Genomic DNA, 27,454 nt, shown 5'->3' on the forward strand with positions numbered 1-27,454 from the left:
TCTAACAACTATCAAGGACCATTTCCTACTCTTTCTGCTGTAAGTTATTTATGCATCTCTTTTATCTCATTCACTAGAGTAATAATTTTCATGCCCAGTACTCGCTCACACATCTTGCCTTTTGTGATTTCAATTAATCTGTAAGGTTGTAGATAATAATGATCCCCTTTTATAAACGACGGCACAGAGAAGAAAAGTAACTTGTTCTAGGTCACCCAACTTCCGACGGAACAAAACTGACATTCCAGTTTTGTGTTGGACTCGAAAGCCAACTATTTTCACGCCATTCATTCCCTCACAGTGTCTATGGGGGCCAGGTCCTACAGGGCGCTGGAGACACGAAAGCAAATGCTGCCATCCCATTTTCAAACGGGAGCCTGCTTGTCGCTAAAACCAGGCGCGCTGCTGGCTCTCCGGCACAGGGACCGCGTCGAGGCCTCTGTGCCTCCCTCCCACTTGGGTGCGCAGGAGAGGGGTGCGGACCTGGGGCGGCCGATACCAAGGGGCGGGTGAGTCGGATGCGTCCAAGGGCCTAAGTCTTCGGAGTTACATGGCGGGGCCAGGTGTGGGGGGGGTTCCCCGAGCCCTCGCGGTTCTAAGTGGGCACTGGGGGCCCGCGTACAGCAGGCAAGAGTGCAAACCAGCAGCGCCAGAAAGAGCGACGAGGTGAGGGAAGAAAAAAGGGGCGGGCAAGAGAGAGCTGGGAACCCTAAAGCGCCAACTGCGTGCGCGGCGCACGCGCATCTGGGATCGGCGGAGGGTGCTGGGTCTCCAGGCCCCACGTCTGAGGGCTGCCGCTTGCCCTCCGGCCCGGCCGGGAACAGCGAGGGTTCTCGCTGTCCTGCCGCCGGGCCCTGCGTCGCCCCACTGTTTTCCCGGCTGAGTACTCACCACCCGATTGTCCCGCTTCCCCATGGTGCTGGATCGAGCGCACAGTAGCACGCCGAGGGAAACCGGGCCGGAGAGACTGCCGAAGAGGGCCTGCCGCAGGTCCTCTTGCCGCCTCCCCACTCCGCCTAGAGAGCGGCACCACGCGGACTCGACGGCCGCGCTCTGCTACAGCGCCCCCTATCTCTGTGGAGGACAGGCCGGCTCCAGAGATCGCTGCAGTTGGCGGAGCGCCTGCAGGAGTCCGGTCGTTCATTAGGCACCCAAGAGCAGGCGACGCTGCGCTTCTGCACCGGAGCCCCACCAAGGCAGCTCGCTTCAGTTTGGCCTTGGATTGTTTTGCTTTCTTCCATTCTTTTTTTTTTTTTTTTTTTTTTTTTTTTTTTTAGACAGACTCTCGCTCCGTCGCCCAGGCTGGAGTGCAGTGGCACGATCTAGGCTCACTGCAGCCTCCACCTCCCGGGTTCAAGCGATTTTCCTGCCTCAGCATCCCGAGTAGCTGAGATTACAGGCGGCCGTCAACACGCCGGGCTAAATTTTTTGTATTTTTAGTAGAGACAGGGTTTTACCACGTTGGCCAGGCTGGTCTATAACTCCTGACCTCAAGTGATCCGCCCGCCTCGACCCAAAGTGCTGGGATTACAGGCATGAGCCACTGCGCTTGGCCTTTCTTCCATTCTTGATACACTGAAATACTCATTCGAGGGGACACAAAGATTCTCCCGATGCTTATTTTGTGCTTGACAGAGTGCAAGTGCTGGGGACAAAGTGAGGACCAAAGAGCCTTGGTCCCTCACGGAGCCCATCAGCTGGTGGGGGGAAAGGCAGTGCTGTCATAGACGCTGCTAACGAAATCACCCTTTAATTTCAATCCCATTCATTCATCACCTGTGCATTCATTTCACACTAATTTTTGAACATGTAGTTTGTACAGTTTTCACTAACTGGGTGGCTGGAAGCTGGAGCTGGGTAGGGCACAAAGATGATTAAGAAAAATCCCTATCGTCAAGGAGCCTGTTTATAAACTCGTAAGGGCAATAAACACACACAGGGCCAACTTTACTGCATAGCATATCGTAATATTGGCACTACTGCACTGCAACTTTAAGGAAGATGATCTGGGCTCCAGAGAAGATAATCATATTTAGTAAGTATTTATAGATAAAGCGACCCCTCTGGGTTCATCTTAGCAAGTATCATTAGGAAGTAGTTGAAAATCAATTAGGATCTTCTCCGGACTCTTGGAAATGGCAAAATGGGAATTACACTAATTACATACAAGAACATGCTTTAAAATCATCTTTCCCGATCTCTGCCTCCCTCCCTCCCTGCATTTTTCATGCTACACTATATGACAGATGCTCCCAACTACCATCTTCTGTCTCAAAACTTTTCCAAACTCTCACATGCAGTCCTTGGTGGTTCTGCTCCCTACTAAGTGTTGATTCTTCCTCAGTAACCCACTTTCCAAAATGAGGCCTCCAGTCTCTCATTTCTCCTCCTCCTCCATTACCCCCGACTTAAGCTGGGGACTCTGACTGAAGACAGGCTTCTTTTTATACACAAGAGGAAGAGGAGAACCTATTAATATTAAGTTATTCTTTCTTTCCTGGCTTATTTTTCATGTTTTAAATATTCTAGGCATTTGACAGATATTATTTTTAATACTCCAACATGATAAGCATGATAATACCTGTGAGAGAATATAGTTTTTTTTTTCCCTCTTCAGCTCCTTCTTACCTTTCACTTCCTTGGTTGGCTGATTGTACAGAACACAGAGATTTTTAAAAATATGGTATAAGTCAACAGAAAGGTTGTGTTTCCTTTAGAAGTCTCTCTCTCTCTGCGAGTGTACACAACCCCTCCTGGATGAAACGTGAATCCCTGGGGGGACAGAGAAACAAGAAAATGACCAGGGGCCTGTGAAGATAAGGAAGATGGCAAGAGCTATCGGGAGCTCATCTGAGTGGACTACATAAAGAACAAATCAGTCCAAGACTTCTCAGGATATAATTCAGTGACAGTAGAAATCTTTACACATTCTCTGCACATGTGTGATCTGCTAATAAATACATTTCTGTCCTAGCAGTGGGCCTACATGCCCTCCCGAATGTTCTAGGCATAACCAGGAGATTACATTCCATTTTGTGGATGAGAAAAACCGAGGCGAAGGGAAGCCGAGTAATTTGTGCCAGCTTCCACAGCAAGAAAGCAGAGAAGCTGGGGATTCAAACACAGGTGTGTCAAACATGAAAGCATTTACAAGATGCAGTCTCTATTAAATACACACATAGACACACAGGCACGCGTAGACACACACACACACACACACACACACACCCACCCACACCATGAAAGCATATGCTTTCCTTACAAAATCACACTGCCTTTGGGAGGGGAGAGAAGAGAGGGAGGATTGAGAAGTGGCATTTCAGGTGGATTGTGACCCTGGGCCAGCTTCCCTCAGAGGAACTGAGAGGGAAGGACATTACAGAGGGAATAGCCCGCGTAAAAGGAGTGGTGATGTGGTCAGGTTTGGCAGCATAGAACACTTATGATAGAAGGGAACAAGGCTGGAAAGGTACACTGGGCCTGGAGGCAAAGGACCTCGAATGCCAAAGGAAGAAGTTATATTTTATTCTGCAGGCAGAGCCTTTTTTTTTTTTTTTTTTTTTGAGATAGAGTTTTGCTCTGTTGCCCAGGCTGGAGTACAGTGGTGAGATCTCGGCTCACTGCAACCTCTGCCTCCTGGGTTCAAGCGATTCTCCTGCCTCAGCCTCCCAAATAGCTGGGATTACAGGCATGCACCACCACACCCAGCTAATTTTTGTATTTTTAGTAGAGACAGGGTTTCACTATGTTGGCCAGGCTGGTCTCGAACTCCTGACCTCAGATGATCCACCCTCCTCGGCTTCCCAAAGTGTTGGGATTACAGGCATGAGCCACCACACCCAGCTGTAGAGCCTTTTAAAAATTAATATTATTTTAATTGACAAATCACTGTATACATTTATGGAGTACAATATGATATTTTGTTATATGTATACAATGTGGAGTGATTAAACAAATTAACATATCCATCACCTTGCCTACCTATTTTTTTTATGGTGAGACATTTGAAACTTACTCTTGGTTATTTTGAAATATATGATACATTATTATTGACCATAGTCACCCTGCTGTGCAGTAGATCTCAAAACTTATTGTTCTTGTCTATTTAAATCTTTGTACTTTTTGATCCGCAGCTCCCACTTCCCTCCCTTCCCACTCCTCCAGCCCCTGATAACCAAATTTTACTCTCTACTTCTATGAGTTCAGCCTTTTTAGATTCCACATATAAGTGAGATCATGCAGTATTTGTCTTTCTGTGCCTGACTTATTTCACTTAATATAACATCCTCCAGATCTACCCATGTTCTTGCAAATGAGATAAAGCTGTTTAAGCAGGGTAGTAACATAAGCATTGATAAAAGGCAAAGCTGTAAATAGTAACAGTCTAATAATAATAATAATTCTCTGGGGCAGGATTTTTCAGCTTGAATAACAAAGATTATAACTCAGGTGGCATCTTTAGCGATGAACTTGGGTCTATATCCAAATTAAACAATATAGTGGATTGTCCTATATATTTTTCTTTTTCTTTTTTCTTTTTTTTTTTTTCTTGAGACAGAGTCTCGCTCTGTCACCCAGGCTGTAGTGCAGTGGTGAGATCTCAGCTCACTGCAACCTCTGCCTCCCGTGTTCAGGTGATTCTCCTGCTCCAGCCTCCCAAGTAGCTGGGATTACAGGCACACGTCACCACAATGCCTGGCTAATTTTTGTATTTTTAGTAGAGATGGGTTTTCACCTTGTTGGCTAGGCTGGTCTTGAATTCCTGACCTCAAGTGATCCGCCCGCCGCGGCCTCCCAAATTGCTGGGATTACAGGCATGAGCCACCAAGCCCAGCCTGATTTTCCTATTTTTTTTTGTTATTGTTGTGTGGGTATTTGAGATTTTAAACAATGGTGAGAGATACAGAAACTCAACCCACAAACCCAAGTATGTTGTTTTGGCATGCATGTCACTAGACTGGAAATGAAAACATGGAGCTTTTGTGTTTGAAGACAACAGCCGTTGTGTTTATCCAACTATATTAAATGACAGAGCAAAAGACAGGAAACAAGTTAAATATCCATCAAAAGGGTTAAAGTATGGTATGTCCATGTAATGGCAAATTATGCAGTTATTTAGAAAGTGATGTAGAGCTGTATGTGTTGATAGGGAAAAATGGCCACTATACATTATTATTAAGTGAAAAAGAGAATTATAAAGAGTATGAGTAGGCCGGGCACAGTAGCTTACACCTGCAATCTCAGCACTTTGGGAGGCCGAGGTGGGTAGATTGCTTGAGCTCAGGAGTTGAAGACCAGTCTGGGCAACAGGGCAAAATCTCATCTCTATAAAAAATTAGCCGGGGTTGGCGGTGCATAATGGTCCCAGCTACTTGGGAGGCTGAGGTGGGAGAATTACCTGAGCCTAGGGAGGTTGAGGCTGCAGTGAGCTGTGTTCATGCTACTGCACTCCAGTCTGGGTGACAAAGTGAGAACCTGTCTCAAGAAAAAAAAAAAAAAAAGAATGTGAGTATATAGAGTATGGCAGTATGTGCAGCAAGAGGATGCATTGGTTGAGCCTTATGAAATTGCCGACATGCAGTAATTTCTAACCTATGAGAATGGCAATTTCATATGGTTCAACTTTTTACGTACGTATGCTTGAAATCTTCATTGCTGGATACTTCATAATGGTATTAGTGAGTTTAGAGGGCAGGTATAGGAATTTTTATTTTCCACCATATTCCCTTCTTTCTGATTTATTTTATTTTATAGGACTGCTCAGCTAATCAACTCCCCTTGCTCCGATTCCACACTCACCATTTAACTTCTGGATGTAATTTTGCCTACATGCAGAGAAAATGATCACCAGCAAACGTGATCATCTTGTGCTCCTGACAACTATATTTCTCGCTGTAAAAAATATAAAAAGGATGTTTTTAAAAAAGGATTTGGATCATGAAAACCAAATAGACATTCATTTTAATTAATTTTCCGTTTGTAAACCCCAGGTTGAGTACTATTATTGGATAAAGGCAGTGGAAGCTACCAAGTAAAGTGAGTCAGAAAGGAAAGTTTCTGGTGTTCATGAGGGCGCCAACTGAATCAATGGGTTATAATTTCACTGTAATTTTCCTCTCGTTCCACCCTTGTTGAGGTGACTCACAAGCTATAAACATTCTTGGACAATTATTTCAGGATGGCTTTGTTGTTAGCATTGAAAGAAAACATCTTTATTTTTTCTTTTAAAAATCAGCTTTATTGAGGTATATTCCACATCCGGTAAAATCCACCAGTTTAAAATGTTCAGTTTGATGAGTTTTGAAAAATATATATGATCATGTAACCGTGACTACCATCAGGATATCATTTTCCATCTCTCTAGAAAGTTTCCTTGTGCCCTTTTGCAGTTAAACCTATAACCTTGCTAAATTTATTCATTCTAGTAGCCTTTTTTTTTTTTTTTTTTGGTAGAGCCTTTGGAGTTTCTACATAGACACTCATACTGTCTTTGAATAAAGAGAGACTTGCCAGGTGTGGCGGCTCACACCTGTAATCCCAGCACTTTGGGAGGCCGAGGTGGGCAGATCACTTGAGGTCAGGAGTTTGAGACCAGCCTGGCCAACATGGTAAAACCTCGTCTCTACTAAAAATACAAAAATTAGCCGGGCATGGTGGCACATGCTTGTAATCCCAGCTACTTGGGGGCTGAGGTAGATTGCCTGAACCCGGGAGGTGGAAGTTGCAGTGAGCCAAGATCTTGCTACTGCACTCCAGCCTGGGTAACAGAGTGAGACTCCATCTCAAAAAAAAAAAAAAAAAAAAAAAAAAGAGAGAGAGAGAGACTTTACTTCCCTTCTAATCTGTATGTTTTTTGTTTTCTTGCTTATTGCATTAGCTAGCACCTCCAGTACAGTGTCGAATAGAAGTGGTGAAAGCTGACATTCTTGCCTTGTTCTTGATCTTAGGAGGAAAGTACTCTGAGCTTATCAAAGTGTGGGGTCAATATTGTACCAGGTCATACTTCACACCTCACATCTTTTACTTTACACTTAGTACTTTTCATTTCACAGTTAGTATTTTTCACATCCCACTTACTGACCAATTCTTTCTTGAATCCAATCTAATCAGGCTTCTACTTCTACCACCTAATCAAGATTTCTTTTCAAGGTTGCTCATCTTCTCTATGTTGCTTAATCAGTTGCCCCTTATTTTCCTTGACCTATCAGCAGCATTTGTCACAACAATGACTCTCTCCTCCTCAAAAGATTTTTTTTCACTTGGATTTCCAGACACTATGCTCACCTTCTGCTTCTCGTAAAGTCCACTTAGTCTCTGTTGCATATTTTCCTTCGTCTCCTGGGATATAAACACTGGGGCACTGTAGAGCTTGGCATATAAACACTGGGGCACTGTAGAGCTTGGTTCTGGGATCTTTCCTTTTTTTTTTTTTTTTTTTTTTTTTGAGACGGAGTTTCACTCTTGTTGCCCAGGCTGGAGTGCAATGTCATGATCTTGGCTCACTACAACCTCCGCCTCCCGAGTTCAAGCAATTCTCCTGCCTCAGCCTCCCTAGTAGTTGGGATTATAGGCAGGCGCCACCACGCTTGGCTAATTTTGTATTTTTAGTAGAGATGGGATTTCTCCATGTTGGTCAGGCTGGTCTTGAACTCCTGACCTTAGGTGATCCGCCTGCCTCGGCCTCCCAAAATGCTGGGATTTCAGGCATGAGCCAACGCACCCAGCCGGGATCTCTTCTTTTTATAGACACTTTCTTTCTTGTTGATCTCATCCAATCTCTAGCTTTATATGCCATCCATACACTGACAACTTCAAAACTTTTATTTCCAATCTAGACCACTTCCTTGGAATCTAGACTCATGCCTCTAACTGCCTAGTCAACATCCTCACTTCAGTGTCTCATATGAGCTCAAGCTTAACATGTCCAGTGTCCAACTCCCAATATTCTCCCTAAAACCAGGTCCTCCTACATTCTTCCCATCTCAGTAAATGGCAACTTGATCTTTCCACCTGCTTAAGCCAAAAACTTCAGAGACATCCTCACTTTTTTTTTTTTAGACAAAGTCTCACTCTGTCATCCAGGCTGGAGTGCAATGCTGTGATCTCAGCTCACTGCAACCTCCGCCTCCAGGGTTCAAGTGATTCTTGTGCCTCAGCCTCCCAAGTAGCTAGAATTACAGGCGCCCGCCACCACATCTGGCTAATTTTTGTATTTTTTCTTATTAGTAGATGGGCTTTCACATGTTGACCAGGCTGATTTCAAACTCCTGACCTCAGGTGATCCACCTACCTCGGCCTCCCAAAGTGCTGGGATTACAGGCGTGAGCCACCACGCCCAGCCCATCCACGCTTCTTCTCTTTCAATGCCATGTCTAATTTATAAGCACCTACTATAACCTTTACCTTCAAAACATCTTACATCTTGTTGTCTCCATTGTTTTCACTTTGATCAAAGCTACCATTATCTCTCATCTGGATTATTACAACAGCCTCCTAACCCAGGCTCCCCGCTTACATCTTTGCCACCCTAAAGTATTTTCTCAATAGAGCAGTCACAGTGGCTTTACAAACAGATCATATGTCACGACTGTGCTTCTTGCCTTCCGGCAGTTTCCCATCTTATTCAGAGTAAATACCAAAGTCTTTGCATTGGCCAAGAAGCCCCTCCAAGATATGCTTCTCCTGCCACTAACTTCCCTGGAATATCTCCTTTCTTTCTCTTGCAGTTAATTGCTGCTACACTGGCCCCCTTGCTGTTCTTTGGACATGGCAGGCATGCTCCTGCCTTAAGGCATTAGCACCTGTTGTTTTCTTCATCACTAATACACCTAGATTCCTCTTCTCTGTAAGTCCTTTGATCTAGTGTCACCTTCTCTATGAGGCCTTCACTGATCTCCTCGTTTAAAATTGCACCCCCATGACACTTTATATTCCTTTCCTCATTTCTTCCCACACATGTATCTAACATCCTAGTTTACTATAATTATTTATTTGTTGCCCCTCACTAGAAAACAAGCTCCATAAAAACAAGACATTTTGTGTATTTTGTTTACTGCCACATCCCCAGTGCCTAAGGACAGTGCCTGGCACATCACTGTGCTCAATAAATATTTACTAAATGAATCAATGACTAGTTTCACTGCCATATTGACTGGTCTGTTTGTACCTGTACCCACTGTCTTTGCCTGCCCTCCCATTAATCCTTTTCTCTCTCAAATCCAGCTCTTCCTCTTGTTCTCCTGGGCCCTTCCTCTCCCTCTTCTCATTACCTTTGCTTCTGCTGTTATTGCTTCTTTTTCACCCTCAATCTCTCTGTTTCCACAATGGACTGTCTTCCATCTCAGAAAACAAGAATTCTCCTTTGATACCACATCCTCCCTGAGCTCTACCTCCATTTCTCTGTTCTGCTTTATGATTCAGCTTCTCAAACAGGCTGTCTACATTCTCTACCTCTCTAACCTCATCTCTGACCACTCCTCCCCCGACTGACTATGCTCTAGGCTCACTGATGTCTTTTCTACATACCAAGCCTTCCTACCTTGAAGCTTTCAGCTGCTTTCCCCTGAGCACCCCACCTAGCTGCCTTAGTCTCATTCTTCATGCCTCAACTCTTTTGACAGGGCCTTTTCTGACACCAGTTTCCCATCTTCCAGCAGTTTCCCATCTTATTCAGAGTAAATACCAAAGTCTTTGCATTGGCCAATGCAAGTACTTTCTACCTTATAGCAATTTTAGCACTTATCATAATGTAATTATCCTATGCAAATATTTATGTTAGCTCCATGAGAGCAAGCACCTTGTTTTGTTCACTACTGTATTTCTAGGGTTTGCTGGTGCCTGGAACAGAAGTTCATTAAGTGTTGAATGAATGAATGTATGAGTTTCCAGTGATGAGATGACTTAAAGCTAGCTGCTGACATATGCAAATAAATATAAATGCATGCGCAGTACTGCCCTTAGAAGCACTGTTTCTTTCTTCTTCTTCTTTTTTTTTTTTTTTTTTTTTTTTGAGACTGGGTCTCACTCTGTCAACTAGGCTGGAGTGCAGTGGCACAATCATGACTTACTACTTGGACCTTCCTGGCTCAAGCCATCCTCCCACCTCAGTCTCAGGGTCCATGCCACCGTGCCTGGCTTTTTTTTTGTATTTTTTGTAGTGACGGGGTTTCACCATGTTCCCAGGCTGGTCTCAAACCCCTGGGCTTGGCCTCCCAAAGTGCTGGGATTATAGGCGTGGGCCACCGCACCCTCCTTAGAAGCATTGTTTCTAACAGTAAAAAATTGGATATATGGTGGGGAGAAATACCTATCAATAGGGGATTGGGTAAGTAAATTATAGTACATTTACACAATGGCACACTATTCAGCTGTAAGAGAAGTTAATGTAGATTTATATGTATTGCAATGACGAATTGTCCAAGATCTTCTGTAAAGCAACACACAACACTCAAAACACAAGTTATTGAATGGGGTGTACAGCCAGCCCATCATCATAGCGTAAAATTTCATTCCTGTATCTTACATGTATCTGTACAAAGCTAGGTATCTAGAAATTATTTATCAAAATATTAGCAGTGATTTTCTCCAGGTTGTGGAGTTTCAGGTAATATTAATTTTTTTCTTAGTAGTTTTTGTATTCTTTAAATATTTTATGGTAAGTATGTGATGATTTTATTTCAGCAGTTACATTTCAGTCACTTGGCCACTGGAAATTCATCACTAATCCATTCAATACTATTGAACCTCTACTCTGTTTAGGCACCACTAGACCCTAGAGCATGCACTGATATTTCTTTCCTATGTGTTTATATACAACTTCATTTCAGAACTTTTTGGGGCTGACCACACCATCTACTTATTCTCACTTTGGAGGTAAGAATGACTTGATGAAATAAGATAGTTTGTATGGCATGTACCAAATTGGCACTTGGGGAGTTCACTGGATGTCAATTGCTTCCCTTCTCCTCCAGGGCACTATTTTTGCTGCATCCACAGTTAAATAACACTGTATCACAATGCAATCCAAGGAGCAGGAGGGAGGGTCTATTATTACAAACCATCACTGTTGAACCAATGAACTACTGGGTGCCTCTTGATGCTTCTGCCTCCTTGTATCGGATGCTCTTTGAAAGCCGACACCAGTTGTAGACATCCAGTGAATATGGGTAAACTTGACTTTCTTTATCACAGAATAGTTGTCATTTTCAAATGAAGAATCCTGGAGACCAGAGGAGGTACAGCATTTAGAACAACAGACCCCTTTCCAAACAAGTGCCAATGTGTTCTCTTGGCTGCTGTGGTGCTTCTCAAAATTTTCCACAGGAGAGGGAATTGTATCAAGGGGCATCTAGTGGTATCCTCCAATGCAGTTATTAAAGTCAAATAGTATCTTTGAAGTTATCTGTATTTTTTTCATTTTTATAAAAATGGGTTTATTTAAAAATAAATCTATAAAAGTAGAAATACATTGCCTTAAGAATCTGAATTTTGCATTCTATTCCACAGAGTCTCACTCTGTCTCCCAGGCTGGAGTACAGTGGTGTGATCTCAGCTCACTGCAGCCTCTGCCTCCCGGGTTGAAGTGATCCTCCTGCCTCAATCTCCTAAGCAGCTGAGATTACAAACATGCACCACCATGCCTGGCTAATTTTTGTATTTTTAGTAGAGACTGGGTTTCACCACACTGCAGAGCAAACATGGCATCCTGGGACCCATCCCTACCATTAAGAGTGTTTCCCTACAGAACAGGAGGTGCAAATTGGGCTGACATTCCAAAGGGCAAAATCAGCGGCAAACAGCTACTAGGTTCTTAATGTAATGTAATGTAATGTAATGTAATGTAATGTAATGTAATGTAATGTAATGTAATGTAATGTATAGTAGGTTCTGAGTGAGTAATACAGAGATAACTGAAGGAGCTGTTCATACATAGCTTCAAAAAAAAAAAAAAAAAAAGGTCCAGTAGGCCAGACGCGGTGCCGCAAGCCTGTAATCCCAGCACTTTGAGAGGCCGAGGGGAGTGGATTACCTGAGGTTAGGAGTTTGCAACCAGCCTGACTAACATGGTGAAACCCAATCTCTACTAAATACACAAAAAATTAGCCAGGTGTGGTGGTGCATGCCTGTAATCCGAGCTACTTGGGAGGCTGAGACAGGAGAATTACTTGTACCTGGGAGGCGGAAGTTGCAGTGAGCCGAGATCGCGCCACTTCACTCCAGCCTAAGCAATAAGAGCGAAATTCCATCTCAAAAATAAATAAATAAATAAATAAAATAAAAAATAAAGAAAATGGTCCAATCAAACCTGGTTGTAGATGCCTATGGTTTGTGGAAACATGTATCATTATGACTGACCCCTTTATAAACCACAAGTTTTTGATATCTTAATAAAGATCAAATTCTTGACCCTTTATATTACCTCATGAATATTTTTTAAAGAGTTTTAAAATTTAAAATTTAAAGTTTAAAAATCTAAATGGTTATGATCCAGATATTTGAGGGCCACTGTCCCAGGCACAGTCTCACCAGCCTCCTGGGCATGGTGGCTCATGCCAGCACTTAGGGAGGCCAAGGCAGGAGGATCACCTGACCCCAAGAGTTTGAGACCAGCCTAGGCAACATAGTGAGACCCTGTCTCTACAAATAAGAATAATAATAATTAGCCAGGAGTGGTGGTTCCTGCCTGTAGTCCCAGATACTTGGGGGGTGAGATTGTGCCACTGCACTTTAGTCTACGTGCAGAGTAAGATCCTGCCTCAAAAATAAATAAATAAATAAAATTTAAATGCAATTTAGGACCTATAAAAAAATAAAGGCAAGTCCTAATGGGAGCTTCTAGGGAATTCTGGAAGTCCAATTTAAATACAGTATACCTGATATTATATACGAAGAGAGGAATATATGTATCAGTGACAATGATCCCCCTTTTGGTTTATTGTGTAGTATCTCGGGAGCTGCTTGATCTATTCCTCCCTCTGCCTCCAGTACATACATAGTTGAACAAAAATTAACAGAAATAATCTCCTTCTTTAAAGTCCTTCTGTGGTTCCAAGCTCCTTTACATGGCCTATATGACCTTACCTCCTGACTCTCCTTCACATACCCGCCTCTTTTATCAATAATTTTCAAACTGTAAGTCATGGCCTATTCATGTGATTGTGAAATCAGCTTTAGTCACTAGTTATTTTCAGAGTAGTAGATAACAAAACAGAAAAGAGAATGTGTGGACCACATAGCATCATTTTGTAAAATGTAAGTTTGAACAAATATGGCCTTCCGGGAGCCATCCACATAAGGAGTTCTTCCCTAGACAACAGGAAATGTAAATTGGGATGACAGTCCAGAGGGTAAAATCAATGGCAAAAGGCTACTAGGCTTTTTTAATGCAATGTGGTCCTAAGTGAGTACCAAATACCAGAGATAACCAAAGGAGCTGTTTGTACACAGCTTCAAAGAAAATGATCCAGCATATATGTGTGTGTGTGTATGTGTGTGTATGTGTGTACCAGCTCATGCTGGCAGATTCTATTTCTTTCTCTAGGTTATGATCCAGATATTTGAAGGCCACTGTCCCAGGCACAGTCTCACCAGCCTCCTCACCTTCCCTGCCTGCTCTTTCATAAAACTACAGGCCTCTACATGGGCAAAGTATTTCTCCTCATGAAACTGGAAATCATTGCTCTTTGTTTTTGAGTCCCCTTAAGCATGATTTCCAAGGTGAAAACTTTGCTCATCTCCAGGTGATTAGCAATTAGTTACACAAACCTTTTTCACAGCCCCTTCTCTTCCTGTAAGCTCCTGAAAGGACTGTCCATTGCCTTACTCATTTTTGTAACTTCAGTGCTTAGCACAGTCAACTAATGAGGGTTCAATAAATACAGTCATGCACTGCATAATGATGAACTGAATATATAACGGTGGTCTGGTAAGATTATAGTGGAGCTGAAAAATTCCTATTGCCTAGTGATGTCACAGTGTAACACATGACTCACATTTGTGATAATGATAAATGGCTGTTACTGATTTATGTATTTACTATACTATACTTTTAATCATTGCTACAGAGTGTACGCCTACTTATAAAAAAAGTTAACTGTAAAACAGCCGGAGGCATGTCCTTCAGGAAGTATTTCAGAAGGCACTATCACAGGAGATGACAGCTCCATGTGTGTTATTGCCCCCTGAAGTCCTTCCCGTGGGACAAGATATGGAGGTAGAAGACAATGATATTGATAACCCTGACCCTGTGTAGGCCTAGGCTAATGTGTGTGTTTGCATGTTAGTTTTTAATGAAACAGTTTAAAAATTAAAAAAAAAACTAAAAATAGAAAAAATCTTATAGAATAAAGAAAATATTTTTGTATAGCTGTGCAATGTGTTTGTGTTTAAAAATAAAGTGTTATTATAAAAGAGTCAATCATGCCCCTGAAATCCCAGCTACTTGGGGGTAGGGGACTGAAGTGGGAGGATAGGTTGAGCCTGGGAGGTGGAGGCTGCAGTGAGCCATGATTGTGCCACTGTACTCCAGCGTAGGTGACAGAGTGAGACCCTGTCTCAAAAAAAAAAAAAAAAAGTCAAAAAGTTAAAAAAATTAAAGTTTATAAACTAAAAAATTTACAGTAAGCCAAGGTTAATTTATTATTAAAGAAAAAATTTAAAATAAATTTAGTGTGACCTAAGTGTACAGTAAAGTCTACAGTAGTGTAATGTCCTAGGCCTTCACATTCACTCACCACTCACTGACTTATCCTGAGAAACTTCCAGTCCTGAAAGCTCCATTCAGTGTAAGTGCCCTTTGCAGGTGTACCATTTTTTATCTTTTATACCATATTTTGACTGTACCTTTTCTATGTTTAGATACACAAATACTTAACAATGTGTTACAATTGCCTACGGTATTCAATACTATACAGGTTTGTAGCCTAGGAGGCTTAGGCTACACCATCTAGTCTAGGTGTGTATTTGTGTAAGTACACTCTATGATGTTCTCACAACGATGAAATCCCCTAACAATGCATCTCTCAGACTGTATCTCAGTCATTAAGCAACGCATGATTGTTGAATGAGTTCTTTTTTTTTTTTGAGATGGAGTCTTGCTCTGTTGCTTAGGCAGGAGTGCAGTGGCGCCATCTTAGGTCACTGCAACCTCCACTTCCCAGGTTCAAGTGATTCTCCTGCCTCAGTCTCCTGAGTAGCTGGGATTACAGGCGCGTGCCACCATGCCCGGCTAGTTTTCATGTATTTTTAGTAGACACAGGGTTTCACCACGTTGGCCAGCCTGGTCTTGAACTCCTGACCTCTGGTGATCTGCCTGCCTCGGCCTCCCAAAGTACTGGGATTAAAGGCATGAGCCACCGTGCCCGGCCAATTGTTGAATGAGTTCTAAGCTCACTTAGCTGTTATTTACTTTTTAAACACTAGAAGCCTGAAAAGGAATCTCTTAAAGTAAAACTTTAAAACACATTCTTTCTACCACATGGCCAGGTTGCAAATAAGAAGCACCAAAAAAAAAAAAAAAAAAAAAAAAAGAAAGAAAAAAAACACATTCTGCTAAAACTTGGAATTTAATGAATTTTACTCACTACAGTTATACTCATTTTACATTAAAGTAAAAAAGAAAATAGCCAGGAGAGTAATTCATCTCCAGAAAGCAGTTTAAAGTTATTGTTTTTATTATTTTTATTTGCTACCAATATTTTTATTGTAAGAAATACAAAAGGTATTACAAATATACAAACTATTTGCTCTTTTTGCCTCATTCAATTTAGCTTTCACATAAGTGAACACATTGGACAGTGATATTTCAACACCAATTTTGAAAAAAACAATGAACTTCATCATCTGACAATAAATACCTACATTTTCATTCTAGCACCCAGTAAGACATCCAGTTTCCAAAGGATTATTGGTATGCAACCCTCTGAATTTTCTGACATGTTACCTTTGCCACTGCAACAGAAACACCACTGCAGTTCTCCCTTTCCCAATAAGTCAGAGTAAGGGGCAGGTAAGAATGGCTATCTGACTTCAGAAACCCTGGGTCACAAAGCATCCCTTACTTGAGCTACTTTTAAAACCAGATTTTTAATGATAGGGTACTTAAAGTTTTGGTGGTCCTTGAATGACATATTTTACGTTACATATTTACCCTACTTTTCTATTCTCCTCCTCAGATAGGAAGGGTATAGATAAACTGGCTATATTTTCATCTGCCTCTTGGGAAAGGAGCAAGAGCATTCAGCTCAGAGCATTCTGAAGACAGTAGCCTTAGAGATAAGCTTTCTTTCTTTCTTCTTCTTTTGCTTCAAGAGGGCTTTCTGTGTGTAATGGAGGGATGGTTGCTAGAGTGAGACAGCCCTTCCCCTCTTGCTATGTCTATACCATACCTGAGGCCATTTTTCTTAGAGGGCAAAAACGTTAGAATAGGTAGGAAGGTTCTTGCTTTCAGAGAGCTGTGCTGCACCCACAGGGTGGACCCGACAGGCCACTGTGGTAACTCTCAATCTGTGTACAGAGAAAAGAGAAGCAACATCTGATACAAAGTCACCTGCCAACATTCTTATAAGACTGTGTCCCAGGCAGTGAATTTCCACACTGCTTCTTGGGTCTGCAGAACTCAAAGCACCAAAACAGAGCATTCTGTAGCAATATAAGCAAACGGAATAAGAATAATTATGCACCTTTAAGGAACATGCACCCTTATAAGTCTGTACCCTGATATGAAAATAGCAGAATGAATTTCAAGTATGAAGAAATACAGTAAAAGTGTGGCCTGTAGATGGAGAGAAAACAGCAGCCTGGAATGTGGTTTATATTCTTGATTAGTTTTTCTCTTGGTACCACAGCCAAAACTGAATGCTCTGTACAATGACTTGGTTTAAAAATCAAGATGCATACAAAGATGCTAGAGGCATTTCTAATGGGTGCCATGAGCACAGTCTGTGCCCAGCATCAGGAACCATCTCTAGATGAATGTGGCTAGGTCAAGTTGGGAGTGGTGGCCAGGCCTAGACAGGCACACCTGTGGTCCATGATGTGGAGGAAGATGGAGAGCACCATGTGGACAAGCCAGGATGGTAGCAGGGAACACTTTAGTGGTAGAAAGGAAGAGATACAGGGGACAGAGATGTAGAGGTGTGGGGATGTTGGTCATCTTGGGCTGGTTCACACAGCCTAGATGAGTATCTGATATACACAATTTCTACATTTCTAGAACCATGATTTCAAACACAGAAACTAACAAGTCAAATTTCCAAATTAGATTTTTTTTTTTTACTTTCAAAACATTTTCTATTATAAGTCAGAAGGAAAAAAGCTTACTGTATGTGACAGTCTTCCTGAAACCTAAGAGAAAGTTTTAACCAGGCCCTATGGCAATGCAGAAACACTAATACATTTTACAGTGAAAACCTACTTTAACACATCTCAAAATGATAATCGTATAAAACTTTCTAGTTCTAATTTGCACTCTACGTGAACCAATATTTTTCTTTTCTTAACACATACTGCTCTTCTATACCAAACACTTGCCCTTTAACCTTCAGATAAAAACCTCAAATACCAAAAAATGCAACAAGCTTTTGAGGTGTTGGGAATTGTTGGTTGTTAAAATCCCTTTTATTTTATAATAAATTATACAGGCAATCCTTGCTTTTTATTACCACACTGGATTGCTTCTGTACACAGCTAAGTTGCCTGAAGCATGGAAACTTGGACTTCTCCATCTGACACGTTCTGGAAGCCTCAAGGCACAAGCTGACAGTTCTGCTTCTACAGAAAAACTCTCACACTGCTCTCCTCTCAACAGTACTGCCTGTTCCCACTACTCCACATGACACCTACGAGGGCACTACATCACGTGAGGGAAGCTTCTTCATGAGGGCAGACAAGAGGAGGCACCACCCAGGCACTGGTCTCTGCCTGGCATCTATTCCGAGGGCCACCTGGCACAGTTTCTAAATTAAGGCATATCTAAAATGCTTTTCTACCTTTAGTTTTTATTTTTGCTATATTTTTGCACTCTACTATATGCATATTTAATAAAAACAACTACAAAGTCCTTTACTTTAATTCCTTTACATAATGATAAAACACCTAGATACCCAAAATACTACATCTATATATTCAAATCTACTAATCATGTTACAAATGCATGCAGCTTATTTGGGGGCTTAGTCTAATTTTTATTTTCTTAGGTCCATCAATACCATGATAATGAACATTAGATGCAAAATCCTAACACTTTCTGCCTTCAGTTGTACTTTCACAGGACTAGTGTGATTCAGAAATAAATAACATACATGAATAATAATAGAAATAATTTATGCAAATGTAGAACAACTTGAAAAAAAATCCCCCGCCTGTCAGGTGCTGTTCCTGGGGGTAGCTGATGCTATAAATTCCATGTACTAACTAATATATTTACTACAGGTAATAGGAAAACAAATGAATAAAAAGTGAGGAACTATGATATACATGTGTATATTTTTGCAAACACAGGATCAGAATGAAAAGATATATCATGCACTGTGAGGTTTAAGAAATGTATTACTGCTGGGATTTGTTTTATTATTCAGACTTTAAGATCAAACTGAGAGTTGTTGGTGATCACAGAAATATTGCTAGCTGATACATATTATTGCATTTCATAAAACTTAAGATTAGAAACTTTCAAGTAAGGGTACAACGGGTATCTTCAGAACTTTAACCTAAGCACATCAACGGAATTTTTCTAGGGACCACAGAGAGTTAGAAATTAAATAATTGTGTGGCTCTATGTGTGCTGATTAGTGCTACAGTCATAGTTCTTGGCAGTCAATATGTAGTTATATGCCCCCTTTGAGAAAAACCTACATTTGACAATCCAAACTCCTAAAATTGAGAAAGGGTTATTTGTGTGACCAAACAACTCACACGGAAGATTCCTCTCAACATGAAAATCCCCTGCTACATGAGATAATTTGTTTACATACCTTTAATTACCTAACAAAGAAAAAGAGAGAAAAGAAACTGGAAGCTAAAGAATTGAGAGCTTTTGCCAACTGAAGACGAAGCAGAAAATAAACTTTTCAAAACAAAACTTTTCCAGGCATATCTTTCACCATCACATATATAGAATGATGGAAAATAAAAAAATAAAAAAAAATTCCTGCAATTATACATCTTTTCTTTAAAAAAACAAAAACAAAAACAAAAACTGAGCTTAGCGCCTGAGAGATGCGGGGTAGACAGCTTCACACAGGGCAGCTGCTACCGCATCTCTTTTTACCCGAACTTTCGGAGAATTGTGTTGTACTTATTTATGCACAGAAGACACCCGTTTGCTACTAGGGACATTTTTCTTCCTAAGATTTGCAGAACAGATGCCTCTGAGACAGCAGCAGGGCACTCTGACCTCGGAAAGCAGCCCGCGGGGCCGCACATAATTTCAGGCACCGGCAGGTGAGTGGGAGGCGGGGCCCCAGCCCGGCCTCGCCCACTGCCTCTCTCCTGCCAAAGGGGCGGGGCAACGAGGCAGCGCGCCCGGAAGGCTTTCAAGTGGGAATCAAGTTTTGAGCACGAGCAAATGGGGTTCAGACTGGCCACTGTTATAACAAACCCTGGGGTGGAATTCGGCCTTTCGCATAGGGGCTTTAACTGGACTCTAGTTCCTGGGAGCAGAGGGGCGAATGAGGCGGGGGATTTCTCAGCCAGTTTCTGACTGCCCCTAGTGTATGTGGCATTTTGGTTCAGTATGAATTACTGAGACTCATCTGCTTGCCACTCAGGAGGAAAGTTGGGCAGGCACCGTCGAGTGTCTGCCACTCAAAAGGAATAAGCTGCTTTCTGTGGTGCTGTGCTAAGGAAACTGAAAAATACTGCAATATCCTTCCCTACTAAATTTCAAGTGACACTGCTGTGAGAAAGGTGACCTCTAAAATTAACTTAATCATTTGGGGTATAAGAAGTCTTTAAGTAGACTTGTAAATTTAAAAAAAGTATATAAAGTTGCCAAAAAACTTCAAAAGTTAAGTATGTAGACACACTCCTAAGTTGTTATGCTCATATACTTCAGACTTTTTTTTTTTAATTAGAGCTTCTTATGAATTTACATTTGTGATTCCACAAATGTTAAAATTACCTGGTCTTTTGGTATTTTAGGGCTCTGTTTCAATACAGCAATTTTTCAGACAAAAGTTTTGTCTACTGAATTACTGATGTGCTACTCATTTTGCTCACCTGATCTTTAAATTAGGATTTTAAAATTTAATCAATGTTGAAAGGCCACCATGCTAGGGAATTTGAAAGCAGCAGAGAGGGTATGTGTGTTTTAACTGGGGCCACTAAAGGAGTTTTATACTTCTAACGAAACTATCCTGTTCACAGATGAGGACTGCCTTTTTAGTAACTAAGCCTGTTTTAATCTAGAAAAGTAAGGTAACTGGGTACTTCAAAAATTTTTTCTTGACTGAATGAATGACTAGGCTTTCTTTACTTAAATGATCAAAATGGGTGTATTATCCATCCTTAAGAACAATTTATTTGCAGACAATTGTTCAGAACCTAGGTAACAAGTAAAATATTGAAGTTACAGAACATTATAGAGACTATTAATCATCCCAAAAAACAAGTGCTAGGAAAGAGTTAAATATGCGCAGAAAAATAAAGTTAGAATGAAATCTCTTTTAGAAGTACCTCTTTAGTCTTCATCAGATTTGTTTTTCTCTAAAAGTGCCACCTTGTGGAATATACCGGAATAAAACAAGAAAGCTCATCTCTTAGGACAGTGTGAATGTTTAGAAAGACTTTTGCAAGAAAAGTCACCTTCCTTTCCTACCACATCAACTTCAAATTGCTGTAACAGTATTTCAGCAGATGCTCGAAAAGAGCCTGTATTTATTTTCAGGTGGCTCTTGTTTTCTTCCTAAGGCTAGACAAGGTAACAATATGTTGAAGGAAGTCCACTTCTACTCATTTAGCTAAACGTTATCACTTCCTGGAAATGCTGAGAAATAGAAAACATTTTGAAAAGCTGATTGGCACTTCATTAAGAAAATAAAAATCCCCAGAAAGGCTACTTGAGAAAAAAACGTGTAAAAATTGGACCCCTTCTGTTTTTACATTTCTGTTGCTTACAAAGGTCAGAAGATAGAGAGACCAAAGGATTATTTTTGGTTTATTTTCTGAAAAAGTACAAGATAGAAATGCTTGAGATATAGGGATGTATTAAAATTGGGTTGTGAATTGCATTGATATAGAAAGGGAGTAAATAAGAAATGAAAATGCTAGTTTCTCATGCTTTTGAGGAAAACAGCATTTCTAATTACTCTAAGGACTTACATTTCTTGGCACACTTTGGTAGCCTCAATAAGTTTTTCCACTGTGGAGATGGAACATGTAAATATCTTCCTAATTATATACCCAAATATACTTAATGGACATGATAAATGGTTTTGGGTAAGGTTCACAATTTTTCAAAAGTATTGGTGGCATAGGAAACACATGCCTTTTAAAAATTTATTTTTTCAATGAACGTTCTTAGGCATGTGTAAGAAGTATTGCTTCATGTGGTTGCCTCTTCCCTTGAAATGGGAAAAAAGTACAGGTAATTTAGTTTGCTTGGGACAGCTTCTCCATAACATTTGTTTTCGACCATATTAATCCCACAGTTACCAGATGACCTTAGTATAAATTTTTACAATATATTTGTTCATAAAGAATATATCCTTCAAAATATATATAGCTTTGAAACTACCCTTTAAATACCTTCATTTTCTCCAGAATTTCCTTTATCTATTGCCCACTGTTTTATGAATAATTTTTAAAGCCTTAGAAATCATACATCTTTATCTGTCACAATGTGAAACATGCATTCTTTTGAATTATATAAATATCTAAGAGTTTATAATAACATTCCAATATTTTCTTTCCAGGGTAAATATTCTGTAGTTTCTATACTAACATAATTAAGTAATTATGGTGGCATATTCACTTTTAACATTATTTTTTCCTAGACTCAACTATGCAATTAAAGCCTGCTTTTGGAAAATGTAAGACACTCTCATGTGCTTATCATAAGAATAGTCAAATTGTCACTTAAAAGAAAAGCAATATTTTAGAAGAATTTTAATATGTTTATGATATTAGGAAGCTTACATAATTTAATTTCCACAATGGAACAATAATGGCCATTACTGACTTTAATAGGCACCACTTGTAAAAGAAGCAGCTACAGTTTCTTAAACACTCACTTTAAATACATAATTTAAAGTTCAAAATGTTTGGTACTATTTAAGAGTTTTCTCATCAAGATGGATAGTACATTCTGGAGAGTCAAACTATACATTTCTCTATAGAAAAGAAACATGCTTTATTTAAGATAGGAACATCTCATGCCTTCTAAAGCTTTCATTTTTATTTAACACAATGCTGAGATTCTATTCTTAGGTGAATAATTTTCAACTATTTTTAGTAAGTCACCTGGGGCTAAATGAAAAGTCTGCCATTCACAGTGTGTGCTTCCTGAGAGAAAATCATGAGAATACAGGGGGCTGAAATGGCCCCAAGCTTTCTTCCAAAACAGGTTCTTTGCACCTTGAGTTCCCATCCACTTCAAAGGAGGGACAAAGTGGGAGGCTCCAACCCACTGGGTTCTTACAAGTGCTTAGAAATTGTATTTTTAAGATTAGGTCCTTTTTATTACCCTTTGCCATGGGATTTCTTATGAAAGCTAAATGGACAAGTTTCTCTTTTTCTCTTTTTATATGTAGGTTGTTTTGACTCCACCCTGTGCAACAGTTCCCAAAATGCCTGAGCCGCCAGAACCAAACATCAAACAGAAACTAGCAGGGACATTCTTGTACTGGTCCTACTATGAAATTCAAACATGATTTCAAATCTGTCACAATATTTTAACTTGCTATGAGCTGCTTCAGTGTAACCTTGGGGCAATATGCCCTTTTCAGTTCACCACTGCTTAGCTTTTGGCAAAGATGTTTGAAACCATATGTTACAGAAGAATAAGCTGTAGTCACTAAGTTCTTACTCTACTATCTGCTTCAAAATGCCCTAACGGCAAGACTGCTTGTGTTGGATCTGGATTTCAGAAATGGCGAATCTGGACATAAAATACATAAATCAAGAGAGTATTCACTCAAATGCAACAACTACACCGATGGAAGAACTGGGGACAGATTTTTACAAAGTTCAGAGAGGCTGAGATGCCCTTTCATTCTGTGTCATCAGAAGATAATCTGCCAACGATTGAATGCCAGAATGTTTGTGCTTTAATTTTTCTTCATAAGCACTGCCTAGAAATGAGTCAAAAGCAGATGCTAGGAATAAAAGTTGAGCTCTCTACTCATTTAAAATTCTAAAGAATGCTGAAAAATTCCAGTTCAGAACAGCTGCATTTTTCTTGAGTGAACTTATGAAAACACTTTTACAACAGCAAAAACTAAAGCTATGTTCACTCTAGCCATGAATACTAACCAAAAAGCTCAGATGAATCAGTGCAGTGAGTTTTTAAATTCAATTTGTAGGCCCTAGCAAAAATGTCTTTGTATTTTGACCCTCGATCAAAGGAAAGGCAGAACTCACTTTTCCATGTGAGACTTTGAGTAGACCTGACCTTGAATGCTGTGGATTCATTATATCTCAAGCATTTATAGTACTGACAACACCTAATCAATGTTGTCACAACGAAAGTAGAAAACATTTGTATGGCCCATCTCCTTTATTATCTTGCTCTAGAAAACAATGTTCCTGTTCCTCAAGCTACTGAATTAGAACAATGTTAAGTAGTACAGCAATTAAAAAAGAATAGTTCCCAACCCCAAAAGCTCTTCAGGAGAAACATCTCCTAGTTTTTTCTCTTGTTCAAGATAGTCATATATCACATTAAGCTGCAAAGAATTCAGTACAACTTAATAATGCATAAACATGATCTGAATTATTTTCTGAGTGCAGCAACCTCCATTCTTTGAAAATCCTAACCCTAAACATAATCTAACTGTTGCATGATCTAACTGTTGCATGCACTCTGAGTCAGAAAGCACAGGTGGCTAAACTTTCCAAAAGATACTTTCTGTGTCCTCTGGTTACTAGAGCCAACTGAGCACTAAACCACTTATAAGGCAGAGATGGTATGAAATATAAAGGACTGTAGAGAAAACAGTAAGAGAAAAAGGAAAAGCTGTTTACAATGCCCAGGCCAGGCTGGCTCTGTAGAGAGCAGGAGTGAGCACAAGGCACTAGAAATAAGCACAGCCTGGGGGATGGAGAAAAGATCATTTGATAGAGTAAATGTATGGCCCTAAAACATAGCTAAAGACATACCCTCAGGTAAAGACACTGAAAATATCTTCTATAAAAATGTAATTCACAAAGTAACAGTTTATAGCAATCTGTGTGCTGGTGATAAAACAAAACAAGATCCTACTCATTATTTAGGTAACAAAAGTAAACACCAGGTAGAAGGACTGCATTAGAGAACATATGTGACCCTGTTAGGTTTGCAGAATCGAGGCCATAAACCATAAGCTGAGACTGCGAATTTATGAAAGGTTCATTGAAAGCAAGCAAACAGGTGGTGCATGGGAACAGCTTAAGCAATCTGTTATTAGTTATACAATGGTAGCAATATATTTCAGAAGTGCCGGGAGATAGACAAGATGGATACTTTGCCAACAAGGCAGTGTGTGGCAGAAAGTACAGTGTAATAGATGAGGAAAATTTCAAGGCCACTCCTGTCTCTAGTTAGAGAGAACTACTCTCCAAACCAAAACAGGAAAGAGTTTCTGACAAATTCCTAAAAACAAAAACAAAATAACAACAACAAACAACAATAACAACAACAAAAAAAGGGAAGAAAGGAATTTCAAACCAGGAAATAAAGGCTTTCTATTCTTTTTTTTAAAATCTATCTGAGGTACACTCCCTAAACCTATAGCAAGTAATAAAAAGCTTACAGGCTATTTTCCAAAAGAAATGATAAAGCATGATGTCATACAGAAGGTTAAAATAGACTTACAACAAGTAAATTCAGCATTCTGAAGACTAAATAGAATGCATGCACATCTCTTAAAATATACTAGAATTTTTTCTCCTTTTTGCTGTGTGTATAAAACTTCATCTTTTACTGCTAGCAAATTTACTGCTTTTGGCCAGAAAAGAAATGCTGAGGACATGGGGTTAACTTTCTAATTTGAGAAGACTATTTTGGTGAATCACCTTCAGTGAACAAATGCCTGTTATTTACTGACCACCTTGAGTCTTTAAAATTGAATTATTCTTGTCGTTTACAAAAAGTAACACTTTAAAAGATCACAGAATCTCTCACATACACACACACACACACACACACACACACACACATGCACACACACACTCAAAAGTACCAAATCAGGCCCGGCAGCTGCAGAGAGATTACATCATAACTCAGCTGTGCCTGGATTACCCACTCCACACTGGCAGCATTCAAGGTTAGAAAAATCAAATGGCAGCACAATTGGTCAGCAGCTTCTCTTCTTCTGGAATTTTTCCAGGTTCTTGAAACAAACAGACAAACAAACAAACAAATGAACATAAAGCTGCAATCACTCTTGCATTGATTTCAAAACAGTAAACTAGGCGGTTTCCTTGGAGAAGCAGAGCCTGTCCAGAAGACAGCAGCTGGAAGGCCTCCAGATAGCAATCCTCCACAGCTCTGTAGGGCTTGCTGAGGGGGACCCATAAGCCACCAAGGGTGTTCTCCGCAGGATCAGCTTAAGGCGGCTGCTGAGGCCTCAGGCTGTATTCAGCTCCGAGGTGTTCTGGCTGGGCGGCAGGTGGGAATCCAGGTTTTCTTTGCACCTTTCCAGGTCCTGGAAGTATGGGTGAGACAGGGCACTGTAGGCAGATATTCTTTTGGCTGGGTTAAATGTCAAACACTTCTGTAATAAAGAAAAAAATAATTGGTTGATATACAATACATCAATGTAAATAATGTACTTACAGAGTTATCCCTTTATTCACTGTCATATGTTAAGCGCATCTACAGTGGGAATGAGTATTTATTTAAAGGGACACTAAATAATATGGAGACAGTACTCATATATATCCCTAATGTATAAAATGTCCCTCAGGAGAAGACCCTTTTGGGTGCCTATGGACTGTTTCCTGCCCAGGATTTCTCACTAAGCCATTAAAGTATGCATATAACTTTATTTAGTAATTCTTCCAGTGCTAGCAAACTTAGTGCTACAGTCGGAGACTTCACCGTAACTTATTATCCTGCCTCAAGGCTACACCACTCAGAGGCAGGGCTATCTTCCTTTTAATTAATACCAAGGTGCCACATGGCTAGCAGTAGCTCTCTCAGGGGACCATTAGATTCAGTTCGAGTCACTAAACTCTATTCCAGGCTGACAGCTCAAGTGTAGGGCTACCAAGGTGAATGAGCTGGTGCCTGCGCTTAAGAAGCTCCTGGTCCTAGTCAAGTGGTTTGGGCAGTTTGGCTGAGCTACTGAGGTAGAAGGTGAAAGGAGGGAAAGGGAAACCTTTGCAGTAGCAGCAATCTCTATTCCCAAACTGTCCATACCTAAATTAGTTAGAATGTGTCCCTAATTTCAGTCTCATTTCCACCCCTACCTCAGGTAATCTTGTTACTCAAATCCTCCTCCTCTCCTTCCATCAACGCCTCCTGCTGGGTGCCTAGCAGGTGGCAAGCACTAATTAGTGATGAGTAAGACCTCCTCATTGCCACAGGAGCTCACAAGTAGCAGGGAAGCCACACTGGCTTCTCCATCCTAAAGTGAACTGGGTATATGAAATGTCTATGCATTCCAGTCTTCTATGTAATTTACAGACTTCACATTATCATGGTTAATGGAAGACCTCTTCCACTTAAGAGGTCTGCATAACCATGATATTAATAGGACTCCTGCTCACAGTCCTAGTCAGGTTCCAACTGGATTAGGGACCTCTCTAATATTCTATCGAAGGCTACTGACCTAGAAAAACAAATACAAACAGAAAGTTCTATGTGTAATTTCAGGCAAATTCTTGGGTCCTCTGAAATCTGATTTATCCTGAGATCCCCATCAGTCCATGGTTGCTAGCCTCCCTATAGGATCTTCTGAACATCAAGAGCTAAAGGGCAAGTGGAAGAAAGAGCTTGTCTGTAGAAAGGTTCCAACTGTCTCTAACAGCAAGAAACATCTCTAGAAAAGCTTTGCAAGGGCTGAATTCCCAAAGGACCGGAAAGCAGGGGCAAAATTCCTGAGCCTGAGTTCTCTTTTCCCAGAGCCCAAGAAGGAGAAAATTAGGTAGTGGCATTTAATCTCCAGGACATAGGAAAGAAGAGAAAAGAGCTGTGGGAATACATTCACAATACAGAGACATGTCTCTAGAGGATTATGTGAGAGGAAGCCCTTTCCTCACAGCTACACTGATGGCTTAAAGCTGGGAAGAGGGTGGAGAGAAGGAGAACACCTTA

General features: G+C 40.6%; 2 protein-coding genes and 1 long non-coding RNA gene across 8 annotated transcripts in view, besides 3 other annotated features; all 3 read right to left on the reverse strand.

Annotated features, from left to right (window-relative positions):
* Positions 1–1,014, reverse strand: part of FAM133B (family with sequence similarity 133 member B) — a 29,633-nt gene extending 28,619 nt beyond the window's left edge. For 3 of the 4 annotated variants that reach the window (NR_109929.2, NM_152789.4, NM_001040057.3), the window contains exon 1: positions 892–1,014. Coding sequence is in view for 1 of the 4 variants with exons in the window: in NM_152789.4 (NP_690002.2) it covers positions 892–915 (24 nt within the window). In the remaining 3 variants the exon portion in view is untranslated. Of the gene's footprint in view, positions 1–483; positions 674–891 lie in introns of those variants that run through there. The other variant, NM_001288584.2, reaches the window with a different exon arrangement.
* Positions 742–801: an enhancer, noted in NCBI's record as "active region_26263". NCBI's record gives its function as "activates an Ori minimal core promoter by ATAC-STARR-seq in GM12878 lymphoblastoid cells {active_cell/tissue: GM12878}" and the evidence as "EXISTENCE:reporter gene assay evidence [ECO:0000049][PMID:35858748]".
* Positions 892–1,171: an enhancer, noted in NCBI's record as "active region_26264". NCBI's record gives its function as "activates an Ori minimal core promoter by ATAC-STARR-seq in GM12878 lymphoblastoid cells {active_cell/tissue: GM12878}" and the evidence as "EXISTENCE:reporter gene assay evidence [ECO:0000049][PMID:35858748]".
* Positions 2,644–11,559, reverse strand: LOC105375397 (uncharacterized). The gene is made up of 3 exons (XR_927744.3): positions 11,058–11,559; positions 5,800–5,892; positions 2,644–2,772 (listed from the first exon to the last, which is right to left on the reverse strand). It is a non-coding gene; the product is annotated as an uncharacterized LOC105375397 (long non-coding RNA).
* Positions 9,468–9,517: a silencer, noted in NCBI's record as "silent region_18373". NCBI's record gives its function as "represses an Ori minimal core promoter by ATAC-STARR-seq in GM12878 lymphoblastoid cells {active_cell/tissue: GM12878}" and the evidence as "EXISTENCE:reporter gene assay evidence [ECO:0000049][PMID:35858748]".
* CDK6 (cyclin dependent kinase 6) overlaps positions 15,545–27,454 on the reverse strand; it is a 231,653-nt gene continuing 219,743 nt past the window's right edge. For all 3 annotated transcript variants that reach the window (NM_001145306.2, NM_001259.8, XM_047419716.1), the window contains exon 8: positions 15,545–25,910. In NM_001145306.2, the coding sequence (NP_001138778.1) occupies positions 25,764–25,910 (147 nt within the window). In that variant the 3' untranslated portion in view covers positions 15,545–25,763. The remainder of the gene's footprint in view (positions 25,911–27,454) is intronic.

Source organism: Homo sapiens, chromosome 7 (genome assembly GCF_000001405.40).
Source record: "Homo sapiens chromosome 7, GRCh38.p14 Primary Assembly".
In the NCBI taxonomy this organism is placed as follows: Eukaryota; Metazoa; Chordata; class Mammalia; order Primates; family Hominidae; genus Homo; species Homo sapiens.